Source organism: Homo sapiens, chromosome 2 (assembly GCF_000001405.40).
Source record: "Homo sapiens chromosome 2, GRCh38.p14 Primary Assembly".
NCBI lineage: Eukaryota > Metazoa > Chordata > Mammalia > Primates > Hominidae > Homo > Homo sapiens.
Window position 1 is genome coordinate 112,018,756 of NC_000002.12, and position 18,510 is coordinate 112,037,265.

Consider the following 18,510-nt stretch of genomic DNA (forward strand, 5'->3'; position numbering starts at 1 on the left):
GTTTGATTTTTATAAGCTAGAGAAAACACTAGACTGTTGAAACTTATAGGCAGGGCCTACGGGAGCAAAATGAAAATTCCTGAATATGTACTTGTGGTGCTTTGGTCCTGTGATAATTGGTGAAGACTCTCCTAATTTCTGTTTAGAAGAAACGAGTATCTTTCAAAACATTTCGTAGTAAAATGGTAGCAGATAGGGGTGCCTAATTGGAAACAGCTCATCCTAAGTGGACTTTTCCCCTCCGAAACATTAGACCCCTGACACACACACACACACACACCTCGCCGCTGCTGAAGCCAGACCACCTGTCCCTTTCCCTCCTCTGTGCAATGCGTGTGCTCTGTCCCACTCTGAAGGATACACGGAAGGATCACGTTTGACCTCATACCTTCTAAAAAGAAACAATGTCATTCACTGTAAATACTTTTAAAGATGGGGAAAAGAGAATATGATGTTTGCCAAGAAGTTTAAGGTTTTTCTCATTCCTTTTTAAAAACCTTATTTGTGATATTAGTGATATGGAAATAAAAGATTTGTTTCCTTATTTCATCACTACACTGTAATAAATTAAAGCATCCTTTCCCCCCCCGGCAGAAACTGCTTGCAAGTTTTCCTTTTTAAAAGATAGTCTTTCTTCTTGTTTCCTCTATCATCTAGCATATTCCTCTGCAGACACTATTGAAGTTCATGGTGGATATTGCCCTGGGAATGGAGTATCTGAGCAACAGGAATTTTCTTCATCGAGATTTAGCTGCTCGAAACTGCATGTAAGAGTCCTCGGCTATCCTGGAAGGGTTTGGACCTCATGGTGTTTGGTCTTTGCAGGGTTAGTGAGAGGACCTGTTCCTGTTTAGATAGGCAAGGAAGCTGCAGTCAGCGGGGGATGGTGTGGCTTGCTCCGAAGATGGAAATATGGCTGGGTGTTTGGGAGTTTTCACTGCCTCTGTATCTGAGAGTCTGGTTGGCTTCCAAAGCTTTCCCTTATGACTCCAGTTTTACCTTCACTCTCTCACTCGGTAGGAATGCAAGGTGTGACCCTTGTGATCCTTCCCCAGCCATCAGCTAGCTTTGGACCTAGAGTTATGTGTACGTCAGCTCCTCTTAAAGACAGCAGTGAAAATCATAAAGGCTTTTCCCTAAGTTTTCACAACACTTCCTTAGGAAGAAGTTTTGTACTTTGAATACATGGAAGCTGTCCTTTCACAGCAGACAATGGCTTCATTATACAAGAAATGTGGACTTAGGTTCTCCCTATTTCTTCAACCTGCTTCAGCAGAGCCATTGTCTGCTGTAAATCTTCAAAAACAATAACTATGTCTTGATTTTAAGTTTTTTATTGCAAGAAGAGGGAGTGGTCCTTCAATGTATTTTGTCATTTGTTTTTCTTGGTCAGAGATGTGACAATGGGGCCTGCCCCCTCCCGCCTCCCAGCCGACCCTGCCCCTAGGGCTCCTACCTCTTTCACCTCATTTTTGAAAACACTAAAGGGGTTTTGGTTTTGTTATTGTTATTATTTAAATAATTTTTCGACCATGGAGGGAGAATCATGAAAACTCTTTTTCCCTTACTGTTTCCTTCATGTTTTCCCAGCAGGTAGGGTGACCAGCTTTGCAGTTTACCCTGGCCTGAGGGGTTTCTCAGGACAAGGGATTTTGAGTGTAAAAAGGCAGTGTCAAGCAAACAGGGACAAGTTAGTCACCTTCCCCAGACTACTTTATATCTATTTCTTCTCCTTCTCTTCCTTTTATTCTTTCTTCTCCTCTTCCTTCTTCTTGTGTAGGAGCTGTTTTAGTAGCTTGGGCTACAAATGCAGTTGTAGCCCTTTAATTTCTCATTTAATTCCTCAAGCACCCACCTGGCCATCTTAGCAAGAAGCCCAGCATCTTGCTCTTACTGCAGGTAATTCCCCATCTTCCCCAAACTCTCAGGGGGCTTACTTAGTCCTCAGGGCCAGTGCTGCTTCCAGACCTCTGGGAGGAAGGCTGCTGGGGTCCTGGATCAGTCCACCAGAGGGCTCTGGTTTTGAGCTGCTGCTCTTTCTGCTCCTGCTATGCTGCGTCTCCATGTTCTCCAGCTGTTTCTATCCACTGTGCACAGGTGCCCTTGCTAGTCCACATCCCACACAGATCAGAGCGATGCAAGACTGCATCACTTGAGGCTAGGCGTGGTAGCTCATACCTGTAATCCCAGCACTTTGGAATGCCAAGGCGGGCAGATCACTTGAGATCAGGAGTCCGAGACCAGCCTGGCCAACATGGTGACACTCCATGTCTACTAAAAAAAAAAAAAAAAAAATTAGCCGGCTGTGGTAGTGTGTACCTGTAATCCCAGCTACTCGGGAGACTGAGGCAGGAAAATTGCTTGAACCCGGGAAGCAGAGTTTGCTGTGAGCCGAGATCATGCCACTGCACACCAGCCTGGGTGACAGGGTGAGACTCTATCTCAAAAGTCTCAAAAAAAAAATTGCATCACTTGCTCTTGCTCTTGCTCTGCTGTTGGTCCTCACTTGCTCTGCCATTGGTCCCAATGCAGCATGCTCACAGGCTGGTGGTGTCTCTGTGTTCTTTTGGTCAATTATCATAAGTGTTTTCACCTGTGTCTGATACAGACCAGTAATTTAAGGCATTGCCTCTGACGCTGCTGAAGACGTAACCTGCTCTCTGTAGGTTGCGAGATGACATGACTGTCTGTGTTGCGGACTTCGGCCTCTCTAAGAAGATTTACAGTGGCGATTATTACCGCCAAGGCCGCATTGCTAAGATGCCTGTTAAATGGATCGCCATAGAAAGTCTTGCAGACCGAGTCTACACAAGTAAAAGTGATGTGGTATGTACACAGCTTTGATTCAGGGGTCCCACAGCACAAAGAGGAGGGCATATTGAAAGAAATGACCTCAGCTGGTATGGCAAGACATTTTACTCTTTGATAAACTGAGGGTTGGCAGCTTGCTCAGATCTCTTTTATATCTTACCATCAGATACTTTAATTCAAGTGGAACAGTAGATTCTGATGAAGTGTCCTGACATTCAGAAGATGTGTGCTTTGCAAAAGCCCTTAATTTCTTCCCATTTTTCCTTGCCGTCAAAGGATGACTCATTGCCCACAACTAGGATATTTCATAGTCACATTAAATTGAATGAGTTCATCCACTGGCTCTTGGAACCTAGATGCTATATGAAAGGTGCTGTGTAATTACGCCCTTGACCCGAGATAAGGAAAAAAAAGCACCTCACAGCAACAGTGGAGGAGAGCACTAAGCAGATGTGTGACGAGGCTGTTTCTGCCTTTGCCAGATTTCCCAGAACAGCTTTTGTAGAAGTGGGGAACTGTGACACTCCAACCCCACGTTATTGCCGCGTTGGGAGAGCAGTGCGTCTCACACATAATTGCCAGCTTTGTGCATGATCATCAGTGTTTAAGGAAATGACCTTTCCCAGTGAAAAAGTCCATTCAGGCTTTGTGGAAAGGCTTGCATCCTAACTTGTTGTTGCTTTGTTCCCAGTGGGCATTTGGCGTGACCATGTGGGAAATAGCTACGCGGGGAATGACTCCCTATCCTGGGGTCCAGAACCATGAGATGTATGACTATCTTCTCCATGGCCACAGGTTGAAGCAGCCCGAAGACTGCCTGGATGAACTGTGAGTGGGCTTCTCTGTCTCCCTTCCATACTCTGCATGGGGCAGCCACCTGGCTCTGCACTGACCTCGGAAACACAGCCATGGGAGGGGAAAGGGACTGCTGTTAGCCAGGTGGGCATGTGCAGAGGGGTGGAACCCACAGACACCCCAGCCCAGGAGCCATTCCTGATGTGGGAGATAGTGTGTGGTATCTCCAGTGAGCCCACTGAGGCTCACTCATCCAAAGGGCCTCAGTCTCGAACGACAGGCACGGTCAAGACAAGGCAATGGCACCTGTCCTAAAATTCCTTACACACCTCTAGGAAATATATCCACAGATAATAGCTTCGCCTTGTAGTGCATGAGGTCCTTGAATGATTCCTCACCCTCTTTTGGTCCAGTTATCTTTCTCCTTCTATGTAGCATTTCAAACACTCCACTCACAGTAGTAGCCTTCATCAGGAAACTCAGAAATCTAAACCAATGACTTTGGGGTCAGGCTGCTCATCAGAATCGCTTGGGAGATAGTGTAACAATACGATTCCTCGGCCCTGTTCCCGGAAATTATGATGCTTTCGGTACAAAGTGGGCCCAGAAATGTGTGTTTTAGAATGCTCCCTGGGGCTGGGCGCAGTGGCTCATGCACGTTATCCCAACACTTTGGGAGGCCAAAGAGGGCAGATCGTTTGAGCCCAGGAGTTTAAGACCAGCCTGGGCAACATAGAGAGACCCTGTCTTTATTAAAAAATAATAAAATAAGGCCGAGTGCGGTGGCTCACGCTTGTAATCCCAGCACTTTGGGAGGCCGACGCGGGTGGATCACGAGGTCAGGAGTTCGAGACCATCCTCGCTAACACAGTGAAACCCCGTCTCCGCTAAAAATACAAAAAATTAGCCGGGTGTGGTGGCGGGCGCCTGTAGTCCCAGCTACTCGGGAGGCTGAGGCAGGAGAATGGCGTGAACCCGGGAGGCGGAGCTTGCGGTGAGCTGAGATCGTGCCACTGCACTCCAGCCTGGGCGGCAGAGTAAAACTCCATCTCAAAAAAAATAAAAAATAATAAAATAATAAAATAAAGTGCTCCCTGAGAGATCATGTGTTTAGACAGGAGAAAGAACTACCAGCTGTGACACACACACAGCACACATCCCATCCTGACAGGGCCCCCGTCTTCAAGGCCAGGCAGTATGGGGAAGAGACCCAGGCCTCGGAGTCAATAGGCCACGCTCTGCTTCCTAACTGGCCCTGTGAGTGGCTATGGCAATTAATCTCCCCCAAGCACTTTGCTGACCTTATTAAAATAATTTCTTGTGGCATTGCTGGTAGCTTGGTGATGGTGATTTGAACCTTCCTAATGGGGAGTCTCCTCCCTGTATAATAAGGGCCATGGGCTTGGAGAGGGGCATTCTCACCATATTTAGCAAGAACATTTCAGGACTGTGGGCCTGCGCTGGCTCTGTCATGGAGTGCCATGCCTGGGCTGGGACAGGTGAGTGTGGACAGCACCCTCCCTACACACACACACACAGACACACACACACACGCCCTGCTGCCTCACATGGGAGAGAGAGCCTGGGTCCCTTTGCCCACAGGCTTTCCGGGTCCCTTCTAAGCCAAAAAGAAGGACACTGTTTTAATCAGAGCTTCGTCCCGTTGGTAGTGGTTGGTTTTTATTGTGGTGGTAGATGTATAACATTAAGAAGAGAAACAAGCACTGTAAAACCTTTAAAACATCCTGAAATGCTAATAAAATTAGTTCTAGGGTTTCATGGTAGTTTTTAAAAGTGCCATGTTTATGAAGTGCCTGCTTCTGAAAATAAGGAAGCATTTCAGTCAAACAATGTTGACTATGGAAAGAGTTTTGTTGCAGTTTCTTTCTGAGCTTTCCTTGCCCACCAAAATAAGTTGATATTTGCGGTGATTATGTTGGGTCTTAGCAGGGTCTAAGCTGTGTCACGTTGTGGTTTTTAGAGCCAAAACAAGTGAATGCTGAGTCGGTTTTCTGTGAGACATTTTAGGGGACAAAGCAGCAGAGTCAGCACACGCCGTGTGGCTGGGGAAGTCAGGCAGAGAGGGGCGAACCTGCCACCCCCGCCTCCTGTGGGCTCTGTGCCCTGGGTGTGCCAAGGGGGCTATGGCTGTGCTGTGGCCTCGGGGCCCCTGTGAGCCAGGCTTCCTTCCATCTCCTCTCGAATCTAGATGCTGGGTAACAACAGCATCCCCCAAAGAGGCCTCTGTTCCATTTCTGAGACATTTCCTTTGTAAAATGAACTCAGGCTGAGTGCAGTGGCTCATGCCTGTAATCCTAGCACTTTGGGAGGCCAAGACAGGAGGATTGCTTGAGGCCAGGAGTTTGAAATCAGCCTGGGCAACACAGTGAGACCCCATCTCTACAAAAAATAAACAAAATTAGCTGGGTGTTGTAGGGCATGCCTGTAGTCCCAGCTGCTCAAGAGGCTGAGGTGGGAGGATCACTTGAGTTTAGGAGGTCGAGGTTGCAGTGAGCTATGATTGTGCCACCAGACTCCAGCCTGGGAAACAGAGCAAGATCCTGTCTCAAAAAAAGAAACAACAACAACAAAAACCCAAAAAACAAATCTAAAGTGTTTCACATGATGGCTGAAATAGTAAACGTGAGGGAAAGGTCAGTGACTCTTCTTCATAGTGAAGGAGGTCGAGGTCACGGATGAGAGCAGGTGCCCTGTGTTAGATGGACTGGCACTGCCGCCGACTGTTGGCGTGACTTCAGTCAGTTCCTCTCCTCTCCAGGCCTCAGCTGCCCTGTCTGTGAGTGTGACTGCATCTCTTCCTTCGTGGGGCTGCAGTGAGGAGTGATCGGTTAGGGCCCATCAACCCACACACAGCTGGCACTTGCTGGTCATGTTCTACCTGCATCAGCCACCTTGAAGCTGCAGTTGCGTGGACTCAGGGGCTCCTCTCCGGGACTCACCTGATGCCCATCCCAGCACCACCCTCGCGCTTCACACACCTGACCAGCCTAGCATTGCCCTCACACTATTATTTACCCTGGCACCCAGGACCTGGTGTGTTGGCTGGCACAGAGCTGGCCCTGCCTCTTGCCTGCTTCTTGTCTGCCCCAAGAACCCCAGCTTATATCCACCTTCCCCATCTCAGAAACCCTCCTCTACCCATTGATGTATCCCTCCCTCCACTGCCACCTGAAGCATCTGAGATCTGGAGAAGGGACAAGGTGGGAGTCACAGTGGGCTGAGTGGCAGAGCTGGGTAGATACTGGCTAGCACAGTGGAAGCACAGCTGATAGGAGATGGGCATCATTTCCCTGTGCAGACTTGCAGCCTGCACTCAGCCATCCTCAGAGCCAGGAGCAAAGCAGGTGCTTGAAAAATATGAGTAAAGTCATACATTTACAAATTTTGTAAATTCATATGATTGCATTTAATTGTGATAAAATATACATAACATAAAATGTACTCTTAACCAGTGCGTACAGCTCAGTGGCGTGAAGTACATTCACACTGTTGTATAACCATCACCACCATCTATCTCCAAAACTCTTCTTATCTTGTAAATCTGAAAGTCTCTACCCATTAAACTAATCCCATTCTCTCCTCAATACAGCCCATGGCAACCTATATGATCACATCTTTTATAAAATCTCAGCAGAAAAATAAAAATGACCATTTACAAAAGCAATTACCAAACTTATTTTTCTTTCCATCCATAAAATTTTATAAAGTCTAAATCACTAAATATCACAGCCCTCCTATTACTTACCAGATGGGGGCTTCTTGTTAATCTTCTTGTTCTACTACGATGAAATTGCCCATTTGTGGGAGTAGGTTAGACAGTATACATGTTCACCATGTCTTTAAAAGTCATATTTATATTTTTATACATTTGATAAGGTATTGAATATTAAAGGAAAAGAAGTTTCAAAGTGATATTGATACTATTCTACTTGGAAATAAAGATAAATTATTTAAATACTTTCTCCTAAGACATGAAATAAATGAAAGTAAGTTAAATACCACAGCCTCTTGATGAAATAATGAAAAGGAGATTATGTCCCTAAGAACAGAATGTCTCAAAGCTCATCTTAGATGGCAAACAATCAAGGCTGTTTGGAAAACAGAGTCATGCAAATTGACTTACGCCTGAAAACCTCAAAAATAAAAACAGAAACCGTCTGTCAAGTCTAAGTGACCATCTAAAGAAGGTAAGACAGGGAAACAAAACAGAACCCCTAAGCCTGAGATGAGAACAAGGATTGTGAGACAGGGAAATGCGCCGTGCCGTTGTCTAGGCCTACATTCAGGATCAAGCTCTTTACATGCATGGCACTTTGCCAGCCTCCAGCTTCCGGATGCGTGTGCAAGTGTTGATAAAGGCTGGAAAGTGGACAGATGAAAAGATATTATTATACATCTACGTGAATGAGATCTGCATGTTGTGTGTGAAGTAACATGTTAGTAGAATTAGCCAAAAGTTCTATAGGCTGTAACTAAATGTCAATATGGAAATTGCATATTTCTGTTCGTAAGATGCTAGTAATTTATTGCATGGGTCAGATGATTTAAATTTGGGTCATTTTTTTGTCCAATGACGTATGAATTATCAGTTTCTCAAAACAGAAAAGCATCAAAATGAAATGATGCCTAGGCATGCTGGTGTGTACCTGTAATTCCAGCTACTCTGGAGGCTGAGGCAGAAGATCACTTGAGCCCAGGAGTTCAGGGGTTCTCCACCAGCCTGGGCAAAATAGCAAGACTTCGTCTTATTAAAAAAATAAATACATCTATTTTTAAAATTTTATATATATATATACACACACACACACACACATTTTTATATATATACACATTTTCAGGCCAGGCATATTAATTGGCATGCATATATATATATGCCATATATGTGTATATATATGCCATATATGTGTGTGTATATGTGTGTGTGTGTGTATATATATACACACACATATGGCATATATATACACACATGCCAATTAATATGCCTGGCCCTGAAATGTCAGGTCTATCAATTATAAGAAAAAAAACATTTTTAATGAAATGATGGTATAACTCACTCTTCATCTCAGCCTATTGATTCCTAATTGTCATCTGTCTTACTGTGCTCCATTAAATGTCCCTCCATTGGAATTCTTAACTATATTAGACACTGGGATGAAAAAACCACCCAGAAGAGAGTTGCCCTCTATAAAACAAAGTGGAAGGAGTTGTGAGGAGCACTTGGACGCAGGAGTTGTCCAATCTGAATCTGAATCCCTGGCTACCCACATGGCCATGGCATGTTCTGTAATGTCCCTGAGCCCACTGTCATCTTCATTACAAAGTGACAATGACAGGGCTGTTGAGAAGACTAGATGGAGTGATACGCAGCACACAACTACCCCCTGCCCTCACCCCTGCTCCTGATCTTCTTAGCCCTAGCCCCAGGGCCCCAACTAACTCAGCTGTCCTGGTAACAACTCAGTTTGATGGCATAGGACAGAGGTCAGCAAACTTTTCCTATAAAGTGCCAAATAGCAAATATTTTTGGCTTTGCAGGCCTTTTAGCACCTGCTCAACTCTGCCATTGTGACATAAGAAGTCATAGATAACGTGTAAACAAATAAGGATAGCTGTGTTCCAATAAAACTTTATTTACAAAGTAGACAGTGGGCTGGATTTGGCTCATGGGCCATAGTTTGCCCGCCGCCATATAAAGAAAGAGACCTAAATACTCCTTATCTGCAAAGTTAGATATAACTGCCACATATGTGCTCTTCCTAGAAACAGAATCACTTTTTTGTCAAATACCATGGAACATTTACAAAAGTTGTATAAATATTAGGCCACCAAAAAAGTCTCAATAATTTTTATAAAAAGTAGAATGAATGCTGATTAAAATGTGATAAAGATTCTGTAAAAACAAAGGCATGGATTGCACAAAGAGATGGGTGCCATGCTGGGAGACAATCCACTTCTTTTTAACTTTCAGGTATGAAATAATGTACTCTTGCTGGAGAACCGATCCCTTAGACCGCCCCACCTTTTCAGTATTGAGGCTGCAGCTAGAAAAACTCTTAGAAAGTTTGCCTGACGTTCGGAACCAAGCAGACGTTATTTACGTCAATACACAGTTGCTGGAGAGCTCTGAGGGCCTGGCCCAGGGCTCCACCCTTGCTCCACTGGACTTGAACATCGACCCTGACTCTATAATTGCCTCCTGCACTCCCCGCGCTGCCATCAGTGTGGTCACAGCAGAAGTTCATGACAGCAAACCTCATGAAGGACGGTACATCCTGAATGGGGGCAGTGAGGAATGGGAAGATCTGACTTCTGCCCCCTCTGCTGCAGTCACAGCTGAAAAGAACAGTGTTTTACCGGGGGAGAGACTTGTTAGGAATGGGGTCTCCTGGTCCCATTCGAGCATGCTGCCCTTGGGAAGCTCATTGCCCGATGAACTTTTGTTTGCTGACGACTCCTCAGAAGGCTCAGAAGTCCTGATGTGAGGAGAGGTGCGGGGAGACATTCCAAAAATCAAGCCAATTCTTCTGCTGTAGGAGAATCCAATTGTACCTGATGTTTTTGGTATTTGTCTTCCTTACCAAGTGAACTCCATGGCCCCAAAGCACCAGATGAATGTTGTTAAGTAAGCTGTCATTAAAAATACATAATATATATTTATTTAAAGAGAAAAAATATGTGTATATCATGGAAAAAGACAAGGATATTTTAATAAAACATTACTTATTTCATTTCACTTATCTTGCATATCTTAAAATTAAGCTTCAGCTGCTCCTTGATATTAACATTTGTACAGAGTTGAAGTTGTTTTTTCAAGTTCTTTTCTTTTTCATGACTATTAAATGTAAAAATATTTGTAAAATGAAATGCCATATTTGACTTGGCTTCTGGTCTTGATGTATTTGATAAGAATGATTCATTCAATGTTTAAAGTTGTATAACTGATTAATTTTCTGATATGGCTTCCTAATAAAATATGAATAAGGAAGGATATGTTGAACTTACTTGAGACTTGAAAGACAGTGGTCGGCAGCGGCCTTGTGGCCTTTGCAAAGGAATTCCCTTAATGCCTGGTCCTTGGGGCAATTGCTCTGACCATTCTTGGCATTGCTTTATAGAGATATGGAAAAACCACACCAGGGTCTGTAGATAAGGAATAAAGAATATTGAAGGATTGAAAAATACTGTGTGAATGGAAAGATTTAAAATCAGCTGAAGAAGAGAATCTGGCAGGTGAAGCACTTTTCTGTTTGGGAGGGGTAGCTCATGGGAGGTAGGCATGGGCAGTGGGGCAGGGCATAGCTGAGCTCACGTTCTGCCTCTGCCACTTCGTAATAGCTATCATTTGTAGAGTACTTGTTTCAGGAACTTTATGTGAACCATCTTATTTAATCTGTATGTCATTATAACATGGTACAAATGCCATCATCATGTATGAGCCAAGAAATCCAGGCTTAGAGAGACTGAGTAACCTGCTTGTAGCCCACATCTAAACAGTGGGGGAGCCAGAATTTAGAACATCTGATTCTGGCTAGTTCTATGCCTGTGATTTGGGGGTTGTATTAGTCCATTCTTGTATTGCTATAAAGAAATACTTGGGACTGTGTAATTTATAAAGTAGTTTAATTGGCTCACAATTCTGCAGGTTATATAGGAGGCACAGTGCTGGCATCTGCTCAGCTTCTGGGGAGGCCTCAGGAAGCTTGCCATCATGGCAGAAGGCAAAAGGGGAGCAGATGTCTCACATGCAGGAGCAGGAGCAAGAGGGAGAGGGGAGGTACTCCACACTTTTCAACGACCAGATCTCACAAGAACTCACTCGGTATCACGAGAACAGCACCAAGGGGCAGATACCAAATCATTCATGAGAAATCCACCCCCATGATCCAATCACCTCCCTCCAGACCCCACCTTCAACGCTGGAGATTACAACTGAACAAGAAGTTTGGGTGGGGACACAGATCAAAACCATATTAGAAATCTACTCCAGAGCTTCTCAACATTTTTACTTTATTTAATAAACATATATCTCTTACTCTGTGCCAGGCATGGCACTCATTTAATTTTCATAACGACACTACCAGATAGGTACTACTATTATCTCCACTTCACAGATGGGCAGACTGAGGCAGGAAGAGCCTAACTTATGCTGCTAGTAAGGGCAGCAGAATTATGCAGTCAGTTGAATTGTTGATTTCCCAGCCTTCGGGGCAGCTGAGCAGGCCCAGAGCCACTGGCATCTTCAGGCCTGTTTACTCCCCACCAGTAAGCAGCCTCGCCTAGGCCTCTCCCACAGTCTTCAAGAATCAGAATCTACATGGGGTCCAACAGTGTGGCTCTCACCCAGGTTCTGGTCCCAGCTGCCCACCCAGGCACCCAATCTCCAGGGTGAGCCGGCTCCTCTGTTACTGTGAAATGCTCCATATGAAAAAGTTCTGGCCAGATGTGGGGATTCACAACTGTAATCCCAACACTTCAGGAGGCAAGGCAGGAGGATCACTTGAGCTCAGGAGTTCAAGACCAGCCTGGACGACATAGTGAGACCCTATATCTACAAGAAAAAATTAGCCAGAAATGGTGGTGTGTGCCTGTAGTCCTAGCTACTCTGGAGGCTGAGGCAGGAGGATCACTTGAGCCCAGGAGTTTGAGGTTACAATGAGCTGTGATTGTGCCACTGCACTCTAGCCTGGGTGACAGAGGGAGACTGTGTCTCTAAAAATTAAAAAAAAAAGTTCTGAGGGTTTGAAAAGAATCTGTAAAATGCCACCATTACATTTTATTCGTGAAAGAAAAAAAGCTGTAGCTCCTATAAAGATAACTTACACTGTTGAAAATTTTTGGTCATTAAAAAATAAAAAAATTTATCACCTACTTGTATAAACAGTTTCTTATCGATGGTAAGTAGCAGGAAGTTGAAGAACTGATCATTAAAGTCTTGATCAGAACCTGATGGTGACTAGTTCAAACAAAAAAAACCCACCCCAAAATAGAAAGGTATGCTCATATCTATGAGCAAAATAAGTAATTATAAACATTGAAAAATGTTATTTGGAAGTTTAATATAAACTTAATATTAAATATCTATGCTCATATACAGTACTTTGTATTTTATATTTCTAATTTTAACAGCATAATGTAAAAAATGTACAATGAATAGTTCATCAAACACCCCACAGCCCTCTAAATCCTGTCCAGTATCTTCTGTGTGGTCTGAGCAGGGCTGGGGAGCCCGGGCCAGTTCTGCCGCAGGAGAGTGTAGAAAGCTGAGCCAGCTGTGGCTTCTGGCTTTTCTTGAGACATCAAGAAACGTAGCAGAGAAATTCACTTCAGCACACAGCGTGATGCACCCAAGTGTTGGTTAAAAGTGGTGTGATGAATGAGAATGAAGCTGGGCTACCATTGTTCTTCACATTTAAATCTCCGCACTGAGAATGTTGGTGTTCTTCTTAGCCACATCTGAATATTTGAAAATTTGGAAAGAACTAACTTTCAGATGATCCAGTCATTGGCAAACTCTCATACTGTCTTCTGAGCATAAACTGAAAACAGCGTTTCAAATTCTCTTTCATAGAAACTCAAATTACTTTTGTAAGTGGCTCTTGTAGGCAAAAAAAAGGGAGAGAGGAAACAGGAAGAAACAAGTCGGGTTAATTGTCTTAACCGTGCTGGGGCTCAGGATCAGGAGGTCGAAAGGACAAGGAAACAGACATATGCCAGAAGCACTCGTGACTGGCACGTTGAGACTTGCCCTCCCTTGTGAGGATTTTCTTTCTTTTGTGTTGTTTTTTTTTTCCTTTCTGTTGCTTTTCTTAATGAGTAGAAATGAGAATCAAGCGTCAGGGCAACTCTTGGAAAACAAAAAAAAAAAGACACCAAAGCACTCTTCATGGTGAGCCAGGCCATATGGTCAGAGGTGGGCTGGATAGGAGCTCACCCTGCCAGATGTCCTTGGGCAATCGTGGGCAGGTCACTTGACTTTCCTTGAGCCCCAGTTTTCTCAAGTGTTCAGTAAACATACCAATGCCTTTTTCTGCAACACCCTGTGTAAGAAGGGGAGGAGGCAAGGTCTTCGAAAGAATATTATACTCACAAGAGGCTGTTCTCAATTTGTGGCATCATTCCTTATGCAGTGCAAACCCAGCAACATTTGTCATATTCAAAATATTTTCAGCCAGGCGTGGTGGCTCACGCCTGTAATCCCAACACTTTTGATGGCCGAGGAGAGAGGATTGCTTGAACCTAGTAGTTCAAGACCAGCCTGGGCAACATAGGGAGACCCTGTCTCTATAAAAAATAAAAAAGAAATTAGCCAGGGATGGTGGCATGCAATTGTGGTCCCAGCTGCTCAGGAAGCTGAGGTGGGAGGATCACTTGAGCCTCAAAGCTCAAGGCTGCACTGGGCTGTAATCACACCATGGCACTCTAGATGGGGCAACAGAGCAAGACTCCATCTCAAAAAAAAAAAGAAAAAGAAACATTTTCCCTGATTGTTTCATCAACTCCCTCCAAAATAAACACAGTCATTCATAATTTGAAAAGAGAAAGAGATAGTATTTCGCCTTAGCCAGAAACGCACAGTTGGGGAAGTTCAGAGTGAAGGAGGAGGCCCTCAGTCCTCACCTCAAACAGCCACTGGGCTCAGGAGCTGGAACTACCTTCCTCTTGTCTATCCTGGGGTTTAGCTACTGATGATACAAGCCTCATTGCGCCTCTCCCCAATATGTGGGTTATGACAAGCAATGGTGGCTTGCTTTACCAGGAGCATTTGGGGACATGTGGTGGGTCAGAATGCTATCCCAGGAAGGGGATATTCCCTCTCTGCCTCCATGTCTGCCAGACCTAGCAGAGGTTCCCCACCTGGGAAATGGGCCAAACCACAGTCTCTTCTTTTACAGAGCAGGCTGATTCTAGCCAGACCAGTTCTGATTCATGAAAGTCAAGACTTTTGTAACTTTTCCTGGTCAATGGCAAAAGCAAGTTGGAACTTCTGCTGAGTCCGTGGGAAAGTAACTGACCCAATAATAAACTAGCTACAACAGCAACTTAACTTCTCTAAAGATGTTTAGTAACTGAGTGACAAATGAGAAAATGGGAAGTTTTGTTTTCTTTAATAAATGTTTCAATGATGCACAATGTTCCTATCCTTAGATTTTATTTTCTTTCTTTTAAAGCTCTAAGTGAGAATAGCAGCAAAACTCCCATTCTATTTAACTTTAAAAGGCATATATAATTACTTAATTTTTTGTTATTTAAATGCAATAATTCTGGGCATGGTGGCTCATGCCTGTAATATCAGCACTTTGGAAGGCAGAGGTGGGAGGATTGCTTGAGCCCAGGAGTTCAAGACCAGTCTGGGCAACATGGTGCAATCCCATCTCTACAAAAAACACAAAAATTAGCTGGGCATGGTGCCACATGCCTGCAGTCTCAGCAACTTCAGAGGCTGAGGTGGGAGGATCACTTGAGCCACAGAGGTCGAGGCAGCAGTGAGTCATAATCATGCCACTGCACTTCAGCCTGGGCAACAGAGACCCTGTCTCAAAATAAATAAATGTAATAATTACTTCTAGAAACTGTAACCTGTGGACCACTATTTTAGAATATTTTTACATACAATCTCTCTTATTTAAATGGGATTCCATGGATAGATATATGAAAGAGAAACCAGAGAATTATATCTATTAACTCTTTCTATTCCTTAAGGACATGATAACTGTTAATTAATAGATTTATTGAGACTATACACTTAAACATTCTAATGAAGAAAGTGTTTTCGAACAACAATCATATGAGGTCACCTATAACCCACTCATCCATTTGCAAATATTCACTGAGAGGAAGGCCCTGTTCTGGGCATTGGGATCTTGCAAAGAAAGGCAGTCTAGGCCTTATCACTTCTTGGCCTTTTGGCTAAGATCAAGTGTAGAAAGGCAGTCTAGTCCTTGCTGTCTTGAATAACAGTCCAAAGGAGGGAACAGGTGGCTTTGGATGAATCATTTTCTTTTAACTATAGTCTTCTTTTTTTTTTTTTTTGAGATGGAGTCTCGCTCTGTTGCCCAGGCTGGAGTGTAGAGGCACGATCTCGGCTCACTGCAACCTCTGCCTCCTAGGTTCAAGCGATTCTTCTGCCTCAGCCTCCCAAGTAGCTGGGACTACAGGCATACACCACTACGCCCAGCTGATTTTTGTATTTTTAGTAGAGACGGGGTTTCACCATATTGGCCAGGCTGGTCTCGAACTCCTGACCTCGTGATCTGCCCACCTCGGCCTCCCAAAGTGCTGGGATTATAGGCATGAGCCACCACACCCAGCCATCATTTTCTTTTAAAGAATATTCTTCAGAATACTCTGACTTCCACATTTTGTTGAAGTCCATTCGTAGCATAGTGAAGCAGAGCAGCCACACCTGTAGATGCTATTTAGAGACTCTACAAGAAACCTCCAGAAAAGGGACAGAATGCCTTTCCTGGAAGCAAGCTCCAAGGCCCGGCCCCACATGACTTAAAATTAAAGGGCCATCAGCTGGGGCTTAAAAATCAAAATCCCATTATACCACAGTCTGAGCAGTTCAAGGGGATGCAGGCTGCTGATTTAACTCCACAAGTAGTAATGGCTTGTTTTAACAAACATAGTTTCTCATCATAAAAATGTGTAATTCGCCAGTTTTTTCATCCATACTTCATACTAGATTATCTCTAACGATCTATCTTCAAGTTTGCTAATTCTTCTTCTCTCAGCTCACAGCTACTATTGAGGCCCTCTAGTGAGTTTTTCATTTCAGTTATTGTACTTTTTCAACTCCAGAAATTCCATTCAGTTATTTTAATCACTTCTATCTCTTAATTGATATTCTCTGTTTAATTTTAAATTCAAAAATATACAACGTGGTGTTCTTTAGTTTTCCAAACATATTTGCAAATAGATGCTTTTGCTTTTTTTCTTTTTTTTTTTTTTGAGATGGAGTTTCACCCTTGTCGCCCAGGCTGGAGTGCAGTGGTGCAATCTTGCCTCACCACAACCTCCACCTCCCAGGTTCAAGCGATTCTCCTGCCTCAGCCTCCCGAGTAGCTGGGATTACAGGCATGTGCCACCACACCTGGCTAATTTTGTATTTTTAGTGGGGCTGGGGTTTCTCCATGTCCGTCAGGCTGCTCTCGAACTCCCGACTCCAGGTGATCCACCTGCCTCAGCCTCCCAAAGTGCTGGGATTATAGGCATGAGCCACCGCACCCGGCCTACCAATAGATGCTTTTCTATAATGAAGTACAGTCATGTGTCACTTAACGATAGGTATACATTCTAAGAAATGCATTGTTAGGCGATTCCATCATTGTGAGAACATCATAGAGTGTACTTACACAAACCTAGATGGCATAGCCGACTACACACTTGGGCTATATGGTATAGCCTATTGCTCCTAGGCCTATTGCTCCTATAGAAACCTGTACAGCATGTGTACTCTACTGAATACTAAAGACAATTGTAACACAATGGCAAGTATTTATATACCTATACATAGAAAAATGACAGTAAAAATACTGTATTACAATCTTATCAGAACACAGTTGGATATGTGGTTTGACTTTGGCCAAAACCTTGCTATGCAGCACATACTGCATTTATCTGCTAAGTTCAATATCTAGGCCTCGCCAGAGACAGTTTCTATTGGCTTTTTTCCTCCATGAGATAACTTTCTTGTTTACTTGCATATTTTGTATGTTTTTATTGAAACTGGATATTTCAGATCATAGATTTCAGAAACTCTGGATTCTAAAGTACCCCTCTCCCAGAGGTGGTTATTATCACTGTGTGTTTGTTTAGCAATTTGCCTGAATTAATTCTATAGATGGTGTTTCTCCTGTAGTGTTTGAGCACTAATGTCTCTGCTCAGTTGCTTTTTAAAAATTATACTTTTTTAAATGTTGAAGCCTGACTTTCAACAAGGCACCCCTGGATCAACGTAGCTTAGTAATAAGCCGATTGATTGGTCAGAGGTTGTGCTTAAACATCTTGAGCCAGTATGATTTCTACATTTTGCTTTCTGTGGCTTGCAGAATACAGTGCAAGTTCAGGAAGTTTCTTGTTTATCCAGGAGTAAATAATTCAGTAAGTGTAAATGGATTAATCATTCCGGTAAAAAGACAAAGGTTGTCACGCTAGATAAAAAGAGATGTATATCCTGCAAAAAAATTAGCTGGGTGTGGTGGAGCATGCCTGTAATCCTAGCTACTCGGGAGGCAGAGGCAGGAGAATCCCTTCAACCAGGGAGCTGGAGGTTGCAGTGAGCCGAGATCGCGCCACAGCACTCTAGCCTGATGACAGAGTGAGACTCTGTCTCAAAAAAAAAAAAAAAAAAAAGAGATGTATATCCTGAATATATAAAGAACACTTGCAACTCAACAATGAAAGGACAAATAACTCAATTTAAAAATAGGCAAAGGATTCAAATATACATTTCTCCTAAGAAGGTTTATAAGTTGCCAATAAGCACATGAAAAGATGTTCAACATCATTAGTCATTAGGGAAATTCAAATTATAACCACAAGATACCACTTCACACCCACTAGGATGGATATAATCTAAAAGACAGGCAACAACAAGGGTTGGAAAGGAGGTAGAATAATTGGAACCCTCATTCATGGCTGAATTATAAACATTCAGTTCATAATTCAGCTGTGAATGAGGGTTCCAATTATTCTAAATTCTAAAATTCATACGTTGAAGCTCTGAATCCCAGCTGTATTTTTATTAGATGGGACCTCTAAATAAATAATTAATGTTAAATGAGGTCAAAAGGGTGGGGCTCCAATCTGATAGGATTAGTGTCCTTAATAGGAAGAAACACCAAAGAGCTCAATTGCATTCTTTCTGCATGCATGCACAAA

The 18,510-nt window shown here is 43.5% G+C and overlaps 1 protein-coding gene across 1 annotated transcript in view; it reads left to right on the forward strand.

The window, feature by feature from the left end:
* MERTK (MER proto-oncogene, tyrosine kinase) overlaps positions 1-10,806 on the forward strand; it is a 130,955-nt gene extending 120,149 nt beyond the window's left edge. The window contains exons 16-19 of the mRNA NM_006343.3: positions 658-767; positions 2,667-2,826; positions 3,503-3,639; positions 9,596-10,806. Of these exons, the coding sequence (NP_006334.2) occupies positions 658-767; positions 2,667-2,826; positions 3,503-3,639; positions 9,596-10,109 (921 nt within the window). The 3' untranslated portion in view covers positions 10,110-10,806. The remainder of the gene's footprint in view (positions 1-657; positions 768-2,666; positions 2,827-3,502; positions 3,640-9,595) is intronic.